The 21,432-nt window shown below is 45.1% G+C and overlaps 1 protein-coding gene across 4 annotated transcripts; it reads right to left on the bottom strand.

Annotated features, from left to right (window-relative positions):
* Positions 1–1,191: 1,191 nt before the first annotated feature.
* On the bottom strand, positions 1,192–19,131 carry GP2 (glycoprotein 2). 4 transcript variants are annotated; one of them, NM_001007240.3, is made up of 12 exons: positions 19,085–19,131; positions 17,956–18,085; positions 15,434–15,874; positions 14,999–15,007; positions 14,487–14,597; positions 11,880–12,091; positions 11,238–11,386; positions 9,803–10,048; positions 8,831–8,993; positions 7,574–7,658; positions 6,275–6,319; positions 1,192–2,899 (listed from the first exon to the last, which is right to left on the bottom strand). In NM_001007240.3, exons 2-12 carry the CDS (start codon positions 18,047–18,049, stop codon positions 2,841–2,843), a joined length of 1,614 nt encoding a protein of 537 aa, NP_001007241.2. In that variant the 5' UTR covers positions 18,050–18,085; positions 19,085–19,131; the 3' UTR covers positions 1,192–2,840. The 4 variants fall into 4 exon arrangements, with proteins under 4 accessions (NP_001007241.2, NP_001007242.2, NP_001493.2 ...); NM_001007241.3 differs by lacking the exon at positions 15,434–15,874; NM_001502.4 differs by lacking the exon at positions 14,999–15,007.
* Positions 19,132–21,432: the final 2,301 nt, after the last annotated feature.

Genomic DNA, 21,432 nt, shown 5'->3' on the forward strand with positions numbered 1-21,432 from the left:
TGCATCTGTGCCTTTGGGCACGTGAGGTTGATATGTGTGTCTGTTAGAATGTGTGTGTTGGTGTGGATAGACGCCTCTGGGTATACAGGCCTGTGTGGGGGGCTAAGTGGGCATGTGTGTTTGTGGTTTGCCTGTGAGTGCCTCTATGTGAGTTTGTGTTCTGCCAGGATTGGGAACATTCCTAGGGAAGGGATTGTGTCTAATTAATTATTGTACCCAGGCCCTTGGACCCGGGACATAAAAACTGCTAAGCAAATTTGTGTTGACTGAATGAATGAATGAAGTGGACTGGACATTCAGAGATTGTTATTCAGACAACATGCCCATTTGTAGAAAACAAAAAGGTGTAAATAGCTAGCTAGCTAGATGATAATTGAGTAGGGAGGTATGTAGACGATAGGTAGATAGGAGGTAGATGATGATAGATAGATAGATACATACATACATAGATAGATACATAGATAGATACATGGATAGATAGATGACAGGTAGCTAGACAGATAGACAGCTGAGATTGGCTCTAAGTGGAATCCTATGTACTTTCTCCTGGAAGTTATATTAGAGTTCATATGTCTCAGGGTGCTCCAAAACATCGGCTCTGGCAGCTCTGTGAGTTATTATGGAGTTGCTTTGAGGGCCTTCAGAGGAAGGAATCACAGAATGGGAGAGCTAAGCTCCCCACCTGACATCAACAAGAATCTATTTGCTTTTAATCTCTGGTTGTCCAAGTCGAATTGTAAAGTTTCACTACTATAAATTTTTGAAAATCTTGTTACAGACCAACCCCTTTTATTCTACAGAAGGGAGCAGCTGAGCCTCAGAGAGGGGAGAAGGTTAGAACCTGACCTCTCTTTCAGGCCTGTTTCTACCATGCCACCTGCCTTGGGATGTAGTAAGTATGACTCCGCTAACTCACTGGGAAACAGAATGCAATTCTTCTCAGGAACCCGTCTTTTAGAGAAGCCACTATCATAGTGGCCCTTGGGATGTCTGTCCAAGAAATGACCCCATTTGTGTCAGACCTGCCCCATTAGGTCAGCCCCTTTGGCTATGTGCTAGATGGTCCCAGTCCCCTGGCCCAGACTACTGGACCCTGACCCAAGCAGCAAAATCAAATTCCCTGATGCAATTTGGAGGTGGGATAGCAACATGCTAACCAGTCTCTGTTGGTCCCTGAATTAGGAAGTGATGTGAAGCTAGAATGTCCATATTTAATCAAGGGATGAGTGAACAGGAAAAGCTGGCTTCAGAGACATAAAAAGAAAACAAAAGCGATGCAAAAATACACAGTCATAAAAGGCTATGTGGCTTCAGAAAGAGGAACAGAAGGCAAGACAAACTTTGGTTTCTTTTGGCTTGCCAGGCCCCACTCCCGGAGCTTGTGCAGCCTGGATGTATCTCTTGCACTGGAACTTTGTGCTCTTATGTCCTTATAATTAACTCCCTTTTTGCCTGAGAAATTGTGGTGGGTTTCTGTTTCTTGCAACTACACCATCTCTGAACAAGGCAGCACATTGGAACGTCTCCTCCAAGCAGATACACAGGCTCGGCACCTGCTGGTCCACCTTGGTTCCTGATGTGTCTCTGAGGCCAACTTTGCGAGGCCTTATCTGTAGCTGTGGGAAGGGCGTAAGTCAGTGTACACATGTCAGCATCTATATGCCCGTGAGTATTAATGCCTGTGTATGTGTGATGCCCTATTTGCTGCATCTGTGTCGGGTGCTTTGAAGTACTCATTAAAGGTCTCCAGAAAGGGACTTCACCCATCTCCTAGGCTTTGCAGTTTCATTCCCATAGCAGGACTGGTGCATTGCTTCTGTTGGGACTTCTTGCTTAATCCTTCAGAGCAAGCACAGCACTGTTTACAGTGAGAGGTACTCCCTTGGGTGATGGAGTTTCTGCATCAAATTAAGTCATTCCTCCAGCATCTAGGTCCCAAGGATGTTTGTGTAGTTCTCTAAGTCACAGCATGTCTGTGGTATGGTGGGGGATAGGGGAGCTATGGGGACTAGTTCTTCCTGGAGCAGAGTCTCCAAAAGTGGCCCTTTGACATGTTCCCATGGCAATTTTTGGAAACCATGATAGAAACAATCAGAGGAAGCAGAGTGAACACAAGGGTCAGTTTCTTCAATTCATGAGCAGTCAGAACAGGAGATGCTTAGGAAGGAATCGTGGCTGGTGCCTCTTCTCCATGCTCATCCCATACCCCAGTGACAGGATACCGCTTCCCTGAAGTTAAAAACATGCACCACACTTCCGGTAAAGGCTGGAGCCACAGAGGGCACCTAGCAAGCTTGCTTTCAAGGTCCCATCAACAAATGAGAAGGGCAGCCGAGGACAGATTGACAGAAACCCCACTATGTTGCTTTTCTTTTTTTTTTTTTTTTTTCCTGAGACAGAGTCTTGCTCTGTTGCCCAGGCTGGAGTGCAATGGCACAATCTCAACTCACTGCAACCTCCACCCCCTGAGTTCGAGCAATTCTCCTGCCTTGGCCTCCCGAGTAGCTGGGATTACAGGCGCCTGCCACCATGCCTGGCTAATTTTTGTATTTTTAGTAGAGACGGAGTTTCAGCATTTTGGCCAGGCTGATTTTGAACTGCTGACCTCAGGTGATCCACCTGCCTCAGCCTCCCAAAATGCTGGGATTACAGGCATGAGCCACTGCGCCCAGCCGAGAGTTTTAAAGAAGGTGAAAGCTCTTCCCTTTTCCTAACCTAGCTTGGCCTTGATTCTATTAATACCAAGCCTGTGTGAATTGGAGTGGAAAGCAGAAGTGCTGAAGGGAGCCATTGCCAGAGGGAAGAACACAAACTTCAAGGCCAGATGCTCAGCGGAGCTCTCAGAACAGCCAAGCCAGGAGGACAGTCAGGAGGACCATAGGCCAGGCCACCAGGAACCCTGAAATACAAGAAATATGACTGTCAAGTGTTGGGCTTTGGGAGTCAGGAGCAAACATAAGTTGGCCTCTTTGTCTTTCACAACACAAGGATGAGAAAGGCAAAGCATCTTTGATATCTGGCCTAGTTATAGTCTCTGGGACTCACATGGTAGAGGCAATCTAATCACCAACCATTTTTTTCATTTTCCTCTGGACACACAGGAATGCAATTTTTCCCAGTGTCCTTTGCAACTAGGTGGGGCCATGTGACCGAATCTGGTCAATAAAATGTGCATAGAAGTCATCTGTGCCATTTCTAGGTCTGATCCTTAAAGCCTCCTATATATCCTGTTGCTCTCTCATCAACCATCTAGGGAGCAGATGCAGAGGATCCAAGATAGGACTTGCAGGGGATAGTGGAGTTACCAGAAGTTACCAGAAGGTAGTAGAAGCCTGAGCTCCTAACGACTACATGGAGCAGAACTGCATCCCCTCCCCCAGTGATTTAGTGGGAAACAATACTGTCGTCTAAAGACACAGAAGACTGGGGACTGTTTGTTACAGCAGCTAGCATTATTTATGCTGACTAATACTGAAGGGGCAGAAAGACACAGAGGTTAAAAAGCACTGCCTCTGATGCCTGATTACTTAGCTTAGAATCTCAGCTCTACACCTAGCTGGGCAGTCCCAGAAAAGTTATTAAACCTCTCTGCCTGTATTTTCCTGTATGCCAAAGAGAAATATTAATAGCAGCTGTGACTTCACTGGATTTTTGTAAGGCTTAAATGAGTGAGTTCATATTAAGCATTGAGACCATTGCCTGGCACATGGTAAACACTATATAAATGTTGGTTTTAAAAGCTAGACTCTAAGATCTAGTTCTGCTGGGATTGTATCTCTTTGGCACATCACTGTGTACTCAGTTTCAGTGAAGGACGTGGATCCCAGATGATAATGGTCTTGTATCAGAGGGCCTAGGAGAAATATGTGAGCCTTCCTGCCATACTACCAAATTGTAAAATCTCCCCATTACCCCAATTTCAAAGTAACTGGCTGATGTCCTAGAAGTGAGGAGAGAAATATCATAAATTTCAGAACAGTACATGACAAAAAGTTATAATTATAAAAACAGGTTGATGTTCAATTAATTCTAAAACATCAAAGATGATTGTGATAGCAGACAATGAAAACCACAAGTGCCCTCTTGTAGTGGGTAGGCTGTCTCAACATCAGACTGATCCCCTCCTTGTCCAGAAGCGTCCAAAATCTACCACCCATTCTAGAAATTAGTCAATTTGGCAAACTCTACTGGGAAACCACACTGTTCCAGGCACTGGGCTAACCAGAAGGACTGGCAGAAAGGAATGAGACTTGAGGTTCTTGACTTCAAGCTGCTTTTTTTTTTTTTGATGGAGTTTTGCTTTTGTTGCCCAGGCTGGAATGCAATGGTGCAATCTCAGCTCACCGAAACCTCCTCCTCCCGGGTTCAAGTGATTCTCCTGCTTCAGCCTCCCAAGTAGCTGGGATTACAGGCATGCACCACCATGCCCATCTAATTTTGTATTTTTAGTAGAGTCAGGGTTTCTCCATGTTGGTCAGGCTGGTCTCGAACTCCTGACGTCAGGTGGTCTGCCTGTCTTGGCCTCCCAAAGTGCTGGGATTACAAGCATGAGCCACCGCACCTGGCCTAAGCTGCTTTTAGAATGAGCTCTAACCACTCCTCTCAATGAGCGTGACTTTTCTTAGCATTTTCTGAATGCTAGCACGGAACATAGAGAGTCCATCTTGGACTTATTTGGGAAATTTAAAAACTGCCATCTAAGTTTGGGCTTTGAGGATGGAAAGAACCTTTTCATGTTTGGGTTCACCAATATAAGTCATTTTGTGGGAAAGCAAATCTTAATAGTATGTGCTTTCCATTTTGTCCAAGACATATTTCTAGTACCCTATAAATATGTAAAAAAATGTAAAAATGTTCTCTCTCTCTCTCTGTCTCTCTGTCTCTCTCTCTCTCTCTGCGTGTGTGTGTGTGAGTGTGATATTTCTTTTATTAGTTAGCTTGTTTAGCTCCAAGTCATTCATCAAAACCCCATTCAGATGTTACTACCTGGTGAAATTCTTTCCAGACCTTATCCAATACAGTTATTTAGCCTTTTATGTACTCTTTCTGTACTATCTACTTGCTTGTCATTTATTTGCTCAAGTGTCTGTCTCACTTGTGCAATGAATTATTGATGTTCCCATGCATATGGGGCTCATTCCCCTAACATTTGCACCTCCGACTCATTTTTCTCAATTGGCTTCAACATCACTTACTCTGAAAGTTTTTCTGACCACTTATCCATTCTGATAGTCATTCTTCCTTCCTACCTTGCTAATAAAGCCATCAAACATTGGTTAGGCACATGGCCCACCCAGAGTAAAGATTACATTTCCTAGCTTTCTTCACAGCAATGTGTGGCATGTGACCAAGCACTGGCCAATGAGATGTAAGTGGAGATATAAGGTGCCAGCTTTCGGGAATGTCTTTTAACACTCATTGGCTTCTTCCTTGTTCCCTCCATCCTGCTGCCTGGATACAAAGGTTGGAGCTCTGGCTGCCATCTTGGAACATGAAGATGATGGCCACACCTCAAAGATGGTGGAGGCATGAGTTGGAAGGAGCCTGGGTCTTTGACAGCTTTATGGTGCTGCCCCGCTAGCCTTGGACAGCTTGCCTCTAAGCTTCATTTATGTGTGACAGAAATGAATGTCTATACAATGAGAACACATGGACACAGGGAGGGGAACATCACACACCAGGGCCTTCCAGGGGATGGGGGGCAAGGGGAGGGAGAGCATTAGGACAAATACCTAATGCATGCGGGACTTAAAACCTAGATGACAGGTTGGTGGGTGCAGCAAACCACCATGGCACATATATACCTATGTAACAAACCTGCACGTTCTGCTCATGTATCCCAGAACTTAAAGTAAAATGAATTAAAAAAAAAAAAAAGTTCTTGAGTTTGAAAAAAAAAGAAATGAATTTCTTTTTTTTTTAAGGCATTATCTATCACATCACTTTCTTTTATTTCTAAAGTACCATGTTTACTTTTTTATTTTCTACTTTCCACACTGGTGCATAAGCTCTATGAGGGTAGGCACCTGGGCTGTTTTGTTTGCCATCACATCTTCAGTGCCTAGAAGAAGGCCTGGCACACAGTGGGCACTCAGTATATATTTCTTGTTAAAGGACTACCTCCTCCACTATACTGTGGGCATCTCAAAGGCCAATCTTAGGTCTGATTAATGTCAGTGTCCCTAGCATAGGGTCTGGGCCATAAAAGGGGCAGAATTGAAAAGAGAAAGGAGAGTTGGGAAAGCTGTGGGAAAGGCATGAGAAAATGATGTACCTGCAGTGCTAGGGGTTCCATTCATGACACCGGGAGACTGTGCACCTGTGAACAAGAACAGAAGGGGTGGGTTTCCTCAGTCATGCTCCAGTGACTGCAACACTGTGGCCATAACTGCTTCACATCCTCCTAGACCTGGCCATCGCAACCACCAGCAAGTTTGTGGCCACATTGTGGGGGCATCTAGAATCTGGCACAGGCACCTTTCTAGACACTTTGCGTGCATCTTAGACTTAATCCTCCTAACAGATTTGTGAGGAAAGTATTCTCATCCCCATTTGACAGATGAGAAGACTGGAGCTCAGTGATGTTAAGGGACTTGCCAAGTTGACCTTGCCAGTCAGTAGCAGAGCTGGGATTCAAACCCCAGTATGTCTGATTCAAAAGTGGAAGTTCCTAACCTCCACCAAGTTACCCTGTGATGCCACCTGAGGCTTCAAGTTGAGAGCTCAGTGAAATGGTAGGAAAACTCAGGGCAGAGCCTACTTCATGAGACAGCCTCCATTTGCTCTGGAGAATGGAAATGGTGATAATGCTTACCTCCCTCACCTGCTGTGAGCCTTCAAAGTGATCATGCATATAAAGGCATTTGACAAAGTGCCAGGCACAAAGAAAGTATTATTATTACCAACATTACTGCATCTTAATTCCTTTAGGGGAAAAAAAAGGCTTTCATTCTTTCACTTCTCCATCCTGGTGGAAATAAAAACACTAACTAAACACTACTGTAAACCCATGAGTAGGATGGATGAAAATATGAGGAGTCATTGGAAAGCCTCCCCTATATTATACTCCAGAATACTGTAAATGAATTTTGGAAAACAGTCATTCACCAGAAAACAAAGTTGCATTTAGACGGGATTTAGGACTTACGCCTCACCCATAAGGAACTGAATTATGGGGACCTGGAAGCAGGTGGAATAAGGAAAAGGCCACATGTTTTGGAATCAGACTGAGCTGGGTTCAATCCTAACTCTAGCCACTCATGAGTAGGGGGATCTTGGGCGAGTCACTTAATCTCTCTGAGTCTTAGTTTCTCACCTGTAAAATGGACATAGGCATGGGAGGATTAAGTGAATTGATGGATGCAAGAGCTTAGCCTGGTCTCTAAGCACACAGGAGGTCCAAATGACAATATTGTCATTATTACCCAAAGCATCTCAAAGAATAGGTTTTTCAGTAAGGGTCAGACTGAGGTGGTACAAGAGCCCTGAGAAGTTGAGTTGGTGACCCCAGGCATCTGTGGTTAACTGTCAACACTCAGCCAGCTGGTCTTGTCACTGGGATTTGGCCACTTACCTCTCCGAGTGATGGGCCCCAAATCTAGAACCCGGGCTAGGTCGATGGCCGGTACTTCACTGCGGACTTGACTTCTTGAGCAAGACTGTAGGGATGATGAACTTTTATTATATCAAAATTTAAATGCCTGGATTCTATCTAGACTGCTCCTACAATGGGCAGCTCTGGACCAAGAACTGTGTCCAGAACTGGTTCACGCTATGGCCCTAATTCCGATGCTGTGGTTATCTCAATCTAGAAAATTATCACTGTCATGCCAAACAAATCTGGGTTTGAATCTCATCAAGTAGAGACTTTCTTTTAGCTATATAATTTGGGGCCAATGACTTTGCCTTTCTACAATAACTAAATAATACCTACCTGGTTGTGAAGATGAAAATGAGATGTGTCTGCAACACATGGGCACAAAGTAAGCACTCGGAAAATGCCAACTATTCACAGGCAGTTCCAAATGCAGGCAAGAGCAGGGGCACTGGAGCCACCTCTCGGCTGGGGCACACCCTGGCTCTGATATTTTCTAATTGTGTGTGGCCCTGTGGGCAAGGACTTCTCTGAACCTCACAGTGGAGTAGGCAAAATAATCTACTTACAGGGTTGTTCTGAGACTTACATTAAAAAATGTATGCAGAAGTTTTAGCATAGTGCTTGACAAAGTGCAAGCACTAAAAAAGTCATCTATGATTATAATCATTTAAAAGATGCCAATGGAATCTAGTAGACAGATTTCTTTATCAAATCTGCCTCCTGGGGACACAAAAATTGCTTAGATATGGGCCTTTAGGAGATCTAGAGTCTATCTATTTATTGTTCGTTTTTCCCTCCCTCCCATCCATACACCTACCTATCTCGTTCCGTCTCTTCATCCTGCTTCCTTCCTTCTCTCCTTCCCTGTCCCTCCTTTCCTCCTCCATCACTCCTGTATTCCTTTCTCCATCCCTCCTGTATTCCTTTCTCCCTCTCTCTTCCCTTTCCCCTCCCTTCCCTTCCCTCCCTCCTTCTCCTTCCTCGTCCCCTTCCCTAATCTTCCCTTTCCCTTTCCTCTTCCCCTTCACCTTCCCATTCCCTTCCCTTCTGTCCATCCTTCCCTTCCCTTCCCGTTCTCTTTCCCCTTCCCCTTTCCCTTCTCTTCCTGTCCCTCCCTTTCCCCTCCCTCCCACCCTCCCTGCGTTTATAATTCCAATAAATATATATGGAAAGCCTATCAGGTACCAGGCTCCATGCCAGGCTCTGAAGAGTTCAGTTCAAAGAGACACTCACAGGCTGGCACTGTTCATTAAGAGAATCACAGAGATGAATCTCACAATGCAGGAAAACTAGGTCATAATGTCCAGCAAACATGAACATCTGAACTGAGAACCGGCTTTCCGAGGACTGCCCATTCTCCTCCACGTGGATGGTGGAATCACGTTGATTTGAGCAGCTGGGAGGGTGACAGGGGCAAAGGTGTAACTTCTAAAAACAGCAGTGGAGAAAATTAAAGAGTCCCTCGGGTTCCCTCCATCATGATAACGTGGACTTTTTCTGTTCCTCTGTTTCCTCCAAGATGTTATCCATAAGCGCACATGGCTTAAATTATTTGAGGGCACAGTCTCTGGAGTGAAACAGACTGGTTTTATACTGTAGCCTGACCCACGTTCTAGCTAAGTGATTATGGGCAGGTTACTCATCCTTACTGAACCTTACTTTTCTTATCTGTAAAGTGGAGACAGTAATATACACTTTATGAGACTGATGTGAGCATTTAATCAGATAATCCACATATTGCTTGGCACATAGCTAATGTGCCATAGCTCAATGACAAATATTAGCTAGGATTATTACTATAATTTAAATCATGATCTATAGAAATGCATTTTTCCCTTGTTTTTGTCAGCCGGGCATGTTTAATGATATTTCACCCCACAACATTTATCATATTGTTTTCATATTGACCAGTGTTCACTTCTGTGTAATAATCCATCACTACCAAATTGATTCCCTATTTTTGAACAATCAGCCTGTTGCCAAAGTTATCAACGATATTGAAATGGAAAATATTGACATTTATTTACCCTGCCCACCTGTTTAGTATTAATATTTTAGGCTAAAATCTCAGGAGTGATATTTCTGGGTCAAAGATTGTGGTTATGATATGTAGTACAACTTACACGTCTGCTGGGGATGGATGAGATGAACACTTTCCTGTAAACGTTAGTAAGGCCAAATGATAATTCCAGAATTGCTCGTTACCTGTTTCTGATGATGAAATACTTCACAAGGTCAGCCTTGTCTTCAGTGGGGGTGGCATAGCAGTTCCTCAACACCAGGTTAAACCGGGAGGTGTCCCCTTGTTCCAAGATGGCACCCACATACAGCACGGACTCAACAGACAGTTCAACTGCATCCCCTTCGTAAGGATTCGTGTAGTTCTGGTCTTGGAAGAGGGCCATCCTGACAATGAACTCTCCATTCCCGTCCACACTGACGTTCAGGGAACTGAGAAAAAGAAAGCCACAAGAGTGGAAACCTCAGAGAACAACATAAATCAAGCCCTGCACTTACTTAACACACTTACGAAGGCAAGGACACACATCTTGGATCCTTAAGTGAACTAGTCAATCAGTCGTTTAAACTGAGCATTTATTAGCTTCTAGGCACTAAACTTGACAGACAAGTCTGTCTCTGGGATTTCCACCGATCCTCCCTGCAGGACAGGTTACACATATCTCCCTTGCTGAAGGAATAACTGAGTGTATACCTCCATCTTCTCACCTGCAGAGTGGGGCTGAGAACCAGTTCTGTGTGTTCACATTTTTTAGCAACAGATCTCTTCCCTGCATTCCACAGTCTTCAGTGAAACACCAATTTTAACAAGATAAATGGCTTTCATTTTGATTTTTTATGAACCAGGAGCCCCAGCACCAAACCATCTGGAAACCACTGAATTAGAAAATGTCTAATCCTTCTGATCCTGTTGCTTTGTGATCCCAGGGAGCAATAGGGAATGAGACGGGCACTCTGGATTTTTGACATCTCAGAAAGTCCCCTAGCAAGTCTAGGGATGCTAAGGAACTGATTCAACAGGGCCCCATTTCAGCACAGAAACACAACAAAACAGAGAAAAGCCCCTGCCCAAATTGCTATCTGATGCTATTTCTGCTGGGGACGGGGGTGCCTGTTTATCCGATAAAAGCTGGTCTCTGCTTAAATCTCACGTCTGCAGGGAAGCTGTTCTGTCCCCATCAAACCCACCACCAACAGGGGTCTGGAACCCCTGTTCCCTGCTCCCAAAGCACCCCACATTTCTTTTACATTGTACTCATCTTGCTTATAAGTAATTATTGGTTTAATTAGTTGTTTAATACCTTTGTTCCTCAAGGTGAATGAACTTTGAACTTGTCCTGTGTTTTTGTTTTCTAGCACATTTAGTAAGCACTGTTTCATGTTGCTGCATTGCCTAGTTATAACAATCTTTAATAGCCACGGAATAGTCTATGTCTGCCTTGTTCATGCTGAACATCTTTAATATACAATCAATGAATACTTGTGGAATGAATGACTGAATGACTGGAGGCTCCTGGAGGAGGCTGGCAGTATGGTGTGGACATCATAGTCTGCACTTGAAGTAAGTGTGATGTGACTATTGCCAGGGTTATGGGTCAAAGGGCAAGGGTCAATGCCATACCTTACAATGGGCTGCAAGGCAGCTTGGAGGCTGACTTTCATGTCCAGTGGGTAGGCACATTGGAAGTTGATGTTGAGGATGGTGTCTCTGATGATGAAATCATTGACCAAGGAGAGGGTGTTTTTGTAGATGGCATGGGTTTGATTTCTCTTTGGCAAAAAAACAAAACCATACAGATGTTTATGTGTATGTGTATGTAGGTGTATCTCAAATCCAGATCTGATTTCCAGAGTCAATTTGCTTAACCATGCAGCCACCCTACCTTCTGAGCTCATGGAGGTCAAGGGACCTCTTCCTTCAGTGTTACTGACACTTTATGGGAAGGCGAATGAGGAAACCAGGCAAAAAACTAGAACGATAAATTATTGACCCTTGGGAAGAGTCAGGAACCAACAAGCTTGCTTCTCTGTGCATCCCTCCCCCACCATCCCTAATTGAAATTATCGTAATTGTAGCTTACGTTTATGAAACTCACATGTCAGACTTATACTAAGCTCTTTATGTAAACCAACTTGTGCACTCTCACACAACCCTGGGGGCTCAGGGAAGCTAAGTGGCTTGTCCAAGATCTCAGAGCTACTATGATAGGTCCCATCAGCCCAACACATACCTTCTGGCAGCAGTGGTGTGAAAGCCACTTACCTCCAGAATGTTCCTGCAGGCACTAGCCTGGACGGGGCTGGTCACAGATACCCAGTTCCTCTCCTCTGTCTGCAAGATGCTGCTGCAGTTTGGGTCTCGCAGGTAGGCAATGACCTCCTCCCCCAAACCCAGGCCTCCCAGCAAACATTTGTCCACCTTCACCTTGATCTCCCTGGGCCCACAGTCTAGCTGAGGCTGCAAACTGTGGACATCTGCAAAGCAGAGATGAAGGCAAGTAGAATGGACATGAGTCTGGAAGCCCACTTTCCCTACTCTTTGGTAACATCTCCATGACCCAGAAGATTATGTAGACTAGAAGGTCCCTGGGATCCAGATGGAATTCATGCCTAGGCTGGCAGTAGGTGGGACTGGCAAAGGGGGCCCCTCATTCAAGATTTCCAAGTGTCCTATGTGCAGGCTTGCTAAGGTTTTTTAGTCTAGTTCCTCTTGGGGATTGTGTTATTTGGGGAGGCAGGATGGACTTGCATTCCATACTAGAATCAAAGTTAGATATATGCTACCTTGTTGAGTCAGCACATCTGACCAAGTTCAGAGCTATCATATTTTAACTCAACATTTATTCAACACACAACTTCTTGAGAATCTACTATCTGCCAGGCACTGGGGCTACAACACTTATCAAAACTGAAAAAATTCCCACTCTTATAGAGCTAACAGTTGAATAGGGGAGACAAATAGTAAACTAATAGGAAGACAGTTTCTATTGCATTCATTAATGCATTGATTCAATATATATTTACCAACCACATTATCTCTCTCTCTGTCTCTCTTTTTTTTTTTTTTTTTTAGACAGAGTTTTGCTGTGTTGCCCAGGCTGGAGTGCAGTGGTCCAATCTCAGTTCACTGCAACCTCTGCCTCCTGGATTCAAGTGATTCTCCTGCCTCAGCCTCCCAAGGCTGGGATTACAGGCATGGGATTACAGGCATGAGCCACCACACCTGGCTAATTTCTGTATTTTTATAAAGATGGGGTTTTGCCATATTGGCCAGGCTGGTTTCAAACTCCTGACCTCAAGCGATCTGCCGGCCTCAGCCTCCCAAACTGTTGGGATTACAGGCATGAGCCACTTTACCAACCACCTTCTCAAATGCTAGGTGCATTCAACATGAAGTAAATAAGGCATGGACTTGGCCCATGAGGATTTCTTGGTCTTGTGTAAACACCAACATATCAACAGTTTATTATACTTCAATATGATAAAGATACAGACAGAAGTATGTACAGATGCAGGGGGAGCAGAGAAGAAGGTCTATCTGAGTCTCTTGGTGAAGTCAGGGAAGGATTCACAGTGGTATGAAATTTGAAACGTGGGTAGGAGTTTTGCAAGTCAGTAAAGCAAGTGAACGCATCCCAGGCTAAGGGAACAGGAGAGGCAAAAGCATGGAGATGGGATAGAGGGAATGGTGCATTTGTGGAATTTCAGAGTTCAGAGGCGCAGGAACCTAAAATGAGAGCAGGGTGTGGGAGAAGGAGATGGAAGTGAAAGTCAGAGCACAGAGGGATGTGTCTGCAAGCAATGGGGCCCACTGGACACTCATCATTGTGCTGGCCACTGATGAAGACTTGAGGCAGGCCACCTGCTCACTCAGTCAGCTGAGACTGTCCTTGGAGCCCATCCAGGTACAGGGAGGGCCTCCTTAAAGCCCAAAATCTGACTCTGTGATGGGCCCAAACCCCAGAAAACCACACTGAATCTCTGGGGCCTTATCCACTCAATGAGCAGAAAGAGTCTTCAAGGAGATCAAGGTTGTTGGTTGTTCCCTACCCCTCATTTCCCAGGGTGCTTCTGCTGGGCACATCTAAGCATCGCCCTGTTCACACTGTGGCTCCGTTTTCCAAATGTGTCATGCTCCTTCTTGTCCTGCTGCCTAGAACACTCTCTCTTCCATAGGGACTTGTAGTGTGCTCAGAGGAAGGCATGCTTGTGCCAAAGGCAAGATCAAAGGCCCTTGTTAGAGTTCAGTGATGGAGGGAAATAATCTCAGTGGGAGGCTCATCCATCCCCTGTCCAGGGCTTAGTGCTTGTTTGTCTATGACATCCCTACCCATGGGACATCTCACTCTGCTTGCTTACCTCCTGGGACGAGAAATTCATCACCTCCTGAGCCTGCCCAATTGGACTGCTCTGATTTAGTTCTCACAATAGCCCTGTATGGTGGGTATTATTATTACCTTATCCTCATTTTACAGATGAGGATATTCAGGCTCAGAGACAGTAGTGACTTGTCCCCAGAAGTCTGCCCATGTCCCTGACATGAAGACCCTGTGGCTATGAAAACATAGCTCCTACATTAGCAGAATTATCATCTTCAGTGTCTTCATCCCTCAGGGGTCAAGCCTGCCCATGTCAGAACCATTTCCTGAGGCCACGGCCCAGCAGCTGACCTGGAAATTTGCTCCAACCCTGCCCTCCTATCCTTGCAAACCCACTGGCTTTACAGCAAATGGATTGGAGAGCCCACATTCCCTTGACCTCAGGTCCATGCCCCTGACTCTGCTTTATACCTTATCTTGACCCTCTAAAGCTCCCTCCCTCCTGCCCTGCCCCCTCAGGATGGTAGTTACTTGCCCAGTGAGCAGCTCACCAGAACTATTGAGGTCCTGTCTGCAGAAACAGCCCCAGGTGCTGTTGAGGGCAAGGCACTCCTCCTCGGGGCGGCAGGCCTTCTCACACTTGTCCTCCACAGTGGATGGGTCTAGGTGATGGGGCATGGAGAGAGAAGATCAGGATGCAGTGCGGGCTGGACTTGAGGCCCCCAAGTCCAACCCTTTCATTTCACCGGGGCACAAGAATCTTGCCAAGGTTGTGTGATACTTAGTGGAAGCATCAAGCCTGACTCCCAGTCCAATGGGATAAGTGAGAGCCCTAAAGCTGCCACCTGAACACTTACTACAGGCAAGACTCTATTCTAAGGACAAGGAATGTATTAGCCTATTCAATCAAAATGAGAAAGGACAGCATGGTGGTTAAGGCCATGGATGCTGGAGCTAGAATGCCAAGTTCAAATCCCAGCTGTACCATGCTCCAGCTCTGTGATACTAGGAGAGCCCCTTAATCTCTCTGTGCCCCTAACTGGGGTAATTAGGTAGCACTTACCTCGTGGAACTGGGGAGAGGATCAAATGAGTTAATACATTTGAAGTACTTAGGATAGCAACAAGGACATTGTGAGCATTATGTATTAGCTGTTATTTTTGCTGTACCCCCCCCCCCTTTTTTTCAGATCAGAACACTGAGGCTCAGGGAGGCAAATTAAACTTCTCAAATGGAGCCAAAATCGGAACGAGCATGAGTTCTGGATTTTATGCTACACACATTTATAAACTGGGAAATTTCACCCTTGAATGGGAATTTCTGGCTTGAAATGTTGGAAGGTCTCAACCCCTGTGTTGAGTTCTCACTGGGCAGGAGCTGAGTCGAGGCTGCTCTGCATCCTCTCCTGTCTCCTCTTGACTTGCTCCACTCACTCTACTGAGCCTGGGAGGCATCTCATTGGCTGTGTAGCTGCCTCCTCCAGGGCTCTGCTGCTCACCTGTGCAGTATCTCAGATTACACCAGGGAGTGCCTTCCAACCGGTACACATGGTACCCGCCTGGGCAGGCCTTCACCAGCACCTCTGTTTTCCAGAAACAGCAGTTGCCACTCCAATGGGCACAGGCAGTGTGGTTGGTGATGCCATCCCCAAGGGCAGGGTGGGTCCCATTCAGCCACATGGGAGCGTCTGTCTGGCATCGGTGCACCTGGACACAGGTCTCCGACATCCTTACTCCTCCTTCCCCTACAAAGCGGTACCAGCCGCTCATGTTTTTATCGCACCCCTGGGACCCTGCTGAGTTCTCTGTGCTTCGGAAGGGTTCATCCAGGAGGGTGTAATTCTGACAGGGGTCAAAACAGACATGAGCCTCTGGGGTGCCAGGAGCTCCGCAGTCCAGGTCCAGCCCATACGAACTGGCTTCAATGGGGTTTCCATAACCTGGGAAAGTGACAGAGTGCAGTTGGGTTTACTGAGCAATGCCAGAACCTACAGGATTTTTTCCCCTCCATGCTCTATTTTGGCTGTGCTAAGGACTCCAATGAGGACAATACACACACGGTCCATTAATTAAACATCAACTTCATCACCTTGGGGGCAGAATAATCAGTGAGGACCTTCTGTGGTATTTTACAGGCATTGAGGACATCAGGGCTACCGTCCTGCACAGCCTCCCTCCCTGCCTCAGAGTAACAAAGTTCTTTCCTGTGCATCATGCAAACAGCAGCCTTGTTTGACCAATATTTGTTTTTCTCATTATAAATGTAATACAGGCTCACTGAAAAAGAACCTCAAACATCATTAAAATTAATAAAGCAGAAATGAAAGTTGTCATAAGCCCATCTCATCCCCAGAAGTAACAATAAATTTGTAATATAGCCTTCTTCTTAGGCAAGTTTAAAATATATTGCTTTCTTAAAAATAAAAATAAGTTTAATTCTGTGCAACATCTTTTTTTCCACTTGCATTTTTTACTTAATATAACATAGACATTTTTCCATACCAGTAGCACAGTCTATTGCAAGAACTCCCAACCTTGGCACTATTGACATTTTGGCTAGGTCATTCTTCACTGGAGGAGCCATCCTGTGCATTATAGAATGTTTAGGAGTATCCTTGACCTCTACCTACCAGATCCCACCAGCATGCCCCAAAGTGGTCTCCAGGCATTGCCAAATGTCTTCTTGGGGGGCATCGCCCCCAGTTGAGAACCACTGATCTAACAAGACCATTTCTGATTGTTGATCTACCATTTTTAAAAACAGTTTTAGAAACTGTGATGTATGAAGAGGCAGAGAAGTGAAGGAGGAAGACCACAGGCTGGTCAGGCTGAGTTTAAATCCAATTCTACACCTGCTGGCTGGGTGACCTTGGCAGGTGACTTAAGTCCCCTGAGACTCATTGGCAAAACCACACCTGTGAACCAGTGGTTCTCAAACTTTATCCGTTCCTACGCTTTGGGTCATGACCTTTGTCATACATGTGTTTGCCTGTCCTATTATTGACTTAAAATGTTTCTTTCAATGATTATCTTTTAAGAATTAGTTTCATCTTAAAGAATAATATCTGTGATAACATAGATATCATGTGCTAGTTATATTTTTTAGATGTGCATAAAAAATAAACATACAGCCATTAAAAACTTGTTAAGAGTTTGCCAGGCACCCCCAGAACCATCTTGGAATATATACACCTCATTTGGGGAAAGAAAGCCTTAAACGATTGTTAGAGGATTAAATGTGATAATATGTGTAAAATGCCAAGCACAGCACCAGGGTCAAGCTAATTGTCTTCTCTAGTTCTATTTTGTTGAATGCTGTAGATGCCTGAAGAAGGAGCTAAGTGCACACACAGGATCATGTGCTTACAATACACATTAAAGGGGCTTTCTAAAAAAAAGAGATTTTCAAGCTTTGCACATGCTTATAATACACATTAGAAGGGCCTTTCAGAAAAAAAGATTTTCAAACTTTGCTCATGCATGTACTTATTTTAAGACAAGGAATCACTGCATTTGTTATTCTTAGATTGTATTTTTCCACTGGAGGCCTCCAATGAGCTCAGTACCCTCTCCCACCCTCCTCCAGGGGCTGAAATTTGCACTCTAATTCTAAGCCTGAGACTCCTTTCTGCAAGTATCTGAATTGCCCACTTCATAAAGAGATCACTTAATCTAGCCCTTTCAGGAAAAGGAGAAGGCACTTGCCAGCACAAGGTGACTGAGTTATGTATTTCTTGATCTTCTTTAATCTGGGGTCTCTAATCTCCCAAAGATATGGGCATGGGAAATTATGTTAACTGGCTCCCACTGCCCTTTCAGAGGAATTTCTGATTAGGCTCTTTGAGAGATTGTGACTTGATTTCCATTGTTTCTCATTATGTTTCCCTTGACTTCTAGCTCTGAGTTTTTGCTTTAGAACTGCCAATTCCTCTTCCTTACCTGAGCCACCTTCTCTGCACTTCTATCCTCACTTGCTAGGTCTTCCTTGACATCTGAGATGCCAGGTGAGCAGAATACTTACCTCGCTGCACTGCAGATGCCTGGGTCAGAATGCAGGAGACCAAGGCCAGCCACAGGAGGCCAGAGCCCACCATCCTTTCCATAAGGTGAGGCATGCAGGTCACTTTGCTGTATGCAGACTTCCCATGCAGCTATGGGAAAGAAAAGACCAAGATAAGATTAGGGCATAGGTCTATGTTCTTAGAAACAGATCCGTTGACTTCCTTCATAAAGAGCTGCATTGTTTCAAAGTAGGTGTGACTTATGGACAGATAGAGCGAGATAATGGGTGATAAAATTGACAGTAAGCAAACCAAAGGCAAGCTTAGAGCTGGCTAGTACTGCAGAATGTCCTAGAAAGGTCTCAGGATGGTCCCTGCTCAGGTGGAAGTAGAGGCTCTTTGGAGATTGGATAGAGAAAAAGGGATATGGTACCTGTGAATACCTGCACACAAAAGTAATGGCTGCCCTTTCTTAGTTTTATGCATTGGGTGCTGCTAAGAGCCCCCTGAAATGTCCTCTATGGATGTAGATTTCTGTGACTGTGGAACCATGCCAAACCGAGCCTCATGTTCCTTGCTCCTAGTACAGAATCTGGCACACAAGGAGTACTCAGTAGAGGATTAAGGATGAATAAATAAATCAATGGGGGTTGGGGGCGGTGGCGAGGCAGAAAGAAAGAGCTGCAAAAAAGCCTGCCAGCATTTGGATGGCATTTACTTTTCTGGGAAATACTTTCCCTAAATGGCCAAATCTTTGGATAACTTCCTACAACCTCTGGAAGACTTCAGTGGAAAATAGAGATCGGTTTCGGGCAGGGATACCATGAGTATGCTATGAGACAGCAGGGATAGGGAAGCACCCAGGATTGGTGATTCTTAGAGATGAGATCCCAATAGAGACCTAGTTCCCTGGTGGGAATATCTGGGACAAGGAAGAGGGTGGCGTCCGTAGGCCTGGAGCATCGCAGATGACTGGAAGCATGACTGAGTTGGACATAGAGTGGTACCTGGAGCACTTGACAATGGCCAGGGTCCAAACTACTTGCTGGGTTCTAAAAATTTCCAGAAACAAAGAATCCTAGCATGTCCAGTGGATCAAGATTTCCCAGGATTAGGAGGAAGCCTCCTGGGGCTTAAAGCAGGACTTACCTCCGATGAGAACACAAAGCGTTCCTCCTCTGGCCAGCCATGGGAATGCAGCCTGCTGTGGGCCGTCTTTTTATTGCAATTTCCCACCCATGTGTCTCTCCTCAATTGGTGCACAGGTATGATGGGAGTTCTAGGCCATACACTGGGCTTGTTGAGTGGAGGTGAGATAAGCCATTTACGCAAAGGATGGTGAAAGAAGGGCCCTCCCCTCACAATGTCAACCCTTCCAGCTGTCTCAGCATTGTGCGAATGCTTCCTACAAACAATAGTGCTGTGTGCTGAATGCTGAACATGCTGGGCACTGCTTTGCGTTCTTGACTTCTCACATTTAATCTTCATAATTAATCAATGAAACTGGTGCCATATTTATTACCAGAAACCAAACACGAATTGAAAGGAAGCTTAATACCCAAAGGGAAGTGAAGAGAAAATCAAACAGGCACTTGTTTGCACAATGGATTTTCAGTTGTACCTTGTGTTCCTAGCTAATCATCTTGGAACATTTCTGCTTCTGTCTGAAGGCCACTGAGCTTGGGGCCAGTTAGACTAAGAGGACACATAGGAAAGGAAAGAAGGGAGTGTGGATGTTTCGAAAAATTCCATTTATTGGTCCATAGAATCTACCCAACTCCGGATTTCTAATGCTGAGCAGTTTTGGAATGGCTAATTTGGTGATGATGGATTTTGGAATGGCAAAGGACAGACAAAGGTTCTTGGACAAAAGAAGCACCAGAGTAGCCCCTGTAAATCCCTTTTGATATGTAGGCTGCCCTAGAGATTGGAAGGCATGAGACTGAGAAGAGGCTGTAGAGGATCTTGGACTTATTAACTCCAGGCTTGGACCTGGCTTTCATGACATGGTAGAAATCATGGACTTCATAAAAGAGCCAAAGCTTTTGCAGAAAAAATGGCCACTGCTTCTTCTCTGTCACTCTGGGACTCCTTAAGGAGCCAAGGCAACTGGAGTCAAGGGAGCAGGAGGGTCTTGGCATTGGTAACACCTTCTACAAAACCTCAACCTGGAAAAAGAAAAGGTGCTACAAGCCACCTTCTCTACTCCCAGAGCAACTGGAGAATAAATAGTCTCTAAAATGTGGAACTTGTGACAACTGGGCCCACTAAATCACCTACTGATCCATTCAGTCTGGCCAGGTGCCCATCCCAGTCTCCCCAGTGGCCACTCTTAACCTTCCCATTCCTCTTAAATGGTCTCTGCAGCTATTATCACCCACTCACACCACCTTTCTCAGCAGATATCTGGTACCCTACTTCAAAAACAATTTAGGCCACAACACCTGACCTTGCTCCTTCCCCTGTAAACATATAAATACTGGTCTCCATCCTCCACCCCTTCCCCCTCCAACTTCTGATAAGGCGATGTTCCTCCTTTTCAAAGTCAGTTCCTCCATCCCTCTTCTGGCTTCTCCATTCCAATCTGAACCATGTAGCTACAACTTTATAGCCAAATCCACTGGGTAGTTTGTTTCTGCTCCTTTGTGATTGGATTTGCCTACTGCTTGTTCCGGGTACCTTGCATTTCCTTGACTCCGCATGTTCATATTTTCTTGATTCTCCTGTTTCTACCTGGAGATTTCTGCTCTGTTGCTACAAGATCCTGTCTCTAAGAATGCTGGTTAGGTCCCATTTTTCTTTTCACGTCATAAACTCTCCCTGGGAGGTATCAAGTTATCTCATGGTTTCACATACCATCTCCAGGCTGGTGAGTTCTGAATCCGTATCCCCAGCTTTCGCTACTCCCTTGAACTTCAGTTCCATCTACCTATTGATTGCTGGACCTCTCACTGCCGCTGAGATGCTTGAGACACCTCAAACTCAGCAAGTGCAACTCTGAGCTCATCAAGTCACCTAAATCTTCTCCTCCTCATTGTATGATCTATTTTAATCAAAGGTGCCACTTGCCTCCCAGTCATCCAAGCTGGAAACTTGGCCTCTTCCTTTCTAAGCTCCTTCCTTTCTCCCTCTGCTCCCATTTCCAATAATCCTTTCTTCTCCATCTCCACCTCACCAATCCAAATTCGGGCCACCATTCCTTATGAAGGTAATTTTTTTTTTTTAGCAAGAGTCTTGCTCTGTTGCCCAGGCTACAGTGCAGTCACGTGATCATAGGCTCACTGCAGCCTTGATCTCCTGGGCTCAAATAATCCTCCCACCTCAGCCTCCTGAATAGCTGGGACTACAGTTGTAGGCCACCACATCTGGCTAATTTTTAAACTGTTTTGTAGAGGCAGCATCTTGCTATGTTGCCCAGGCTGGTCTTAAACATTTTGGCTTAAATTATCTTCCTGCCTTGCCCCCACAAAGTGCCAGGATTACAGACCTGAGCCTCT

The sequence above is a fragment of the Homo sapiens genome, chromosome 16, assembly GCF_000001405.40.
Source record: "Homo sapiens chromosome 16, GRCh38.p14 Primary Assembly".
Taxonomy (NCBI): Eukaryota; Metazoa; Chordata; class Mammalia; order Primates; family Hominidae; genus Homo; species Homo sapiens.

What these genes read in the sequence shown, in the direction of transcription:
- GP2 (NM_001007240.3), bottom strand. Translation starts at nt 18,049, where the DNA reads ATGCCTCACCTTATGGAAAGGATGGTGGGCTCTGGCCTCCTGTGGCTG. An exon ending in GGCATCTGCAGTGCAGCGAG is followed by an intron (nt 15,875 to 17,955) that starts GTAAGTATTCTG and finishes TCACTTTCCCAG; the next exon opens with GTTATGGAAACCCCATTGAA. An exon ending in TATTTCATCATCAGAAACAG is followed by an intron (nt 8,994 to 9,802) that starts GTAACGAGCAAT and finishes TCACCCTCCCAG; the next exon opens with CTGCTCAAATCAACGTGATT.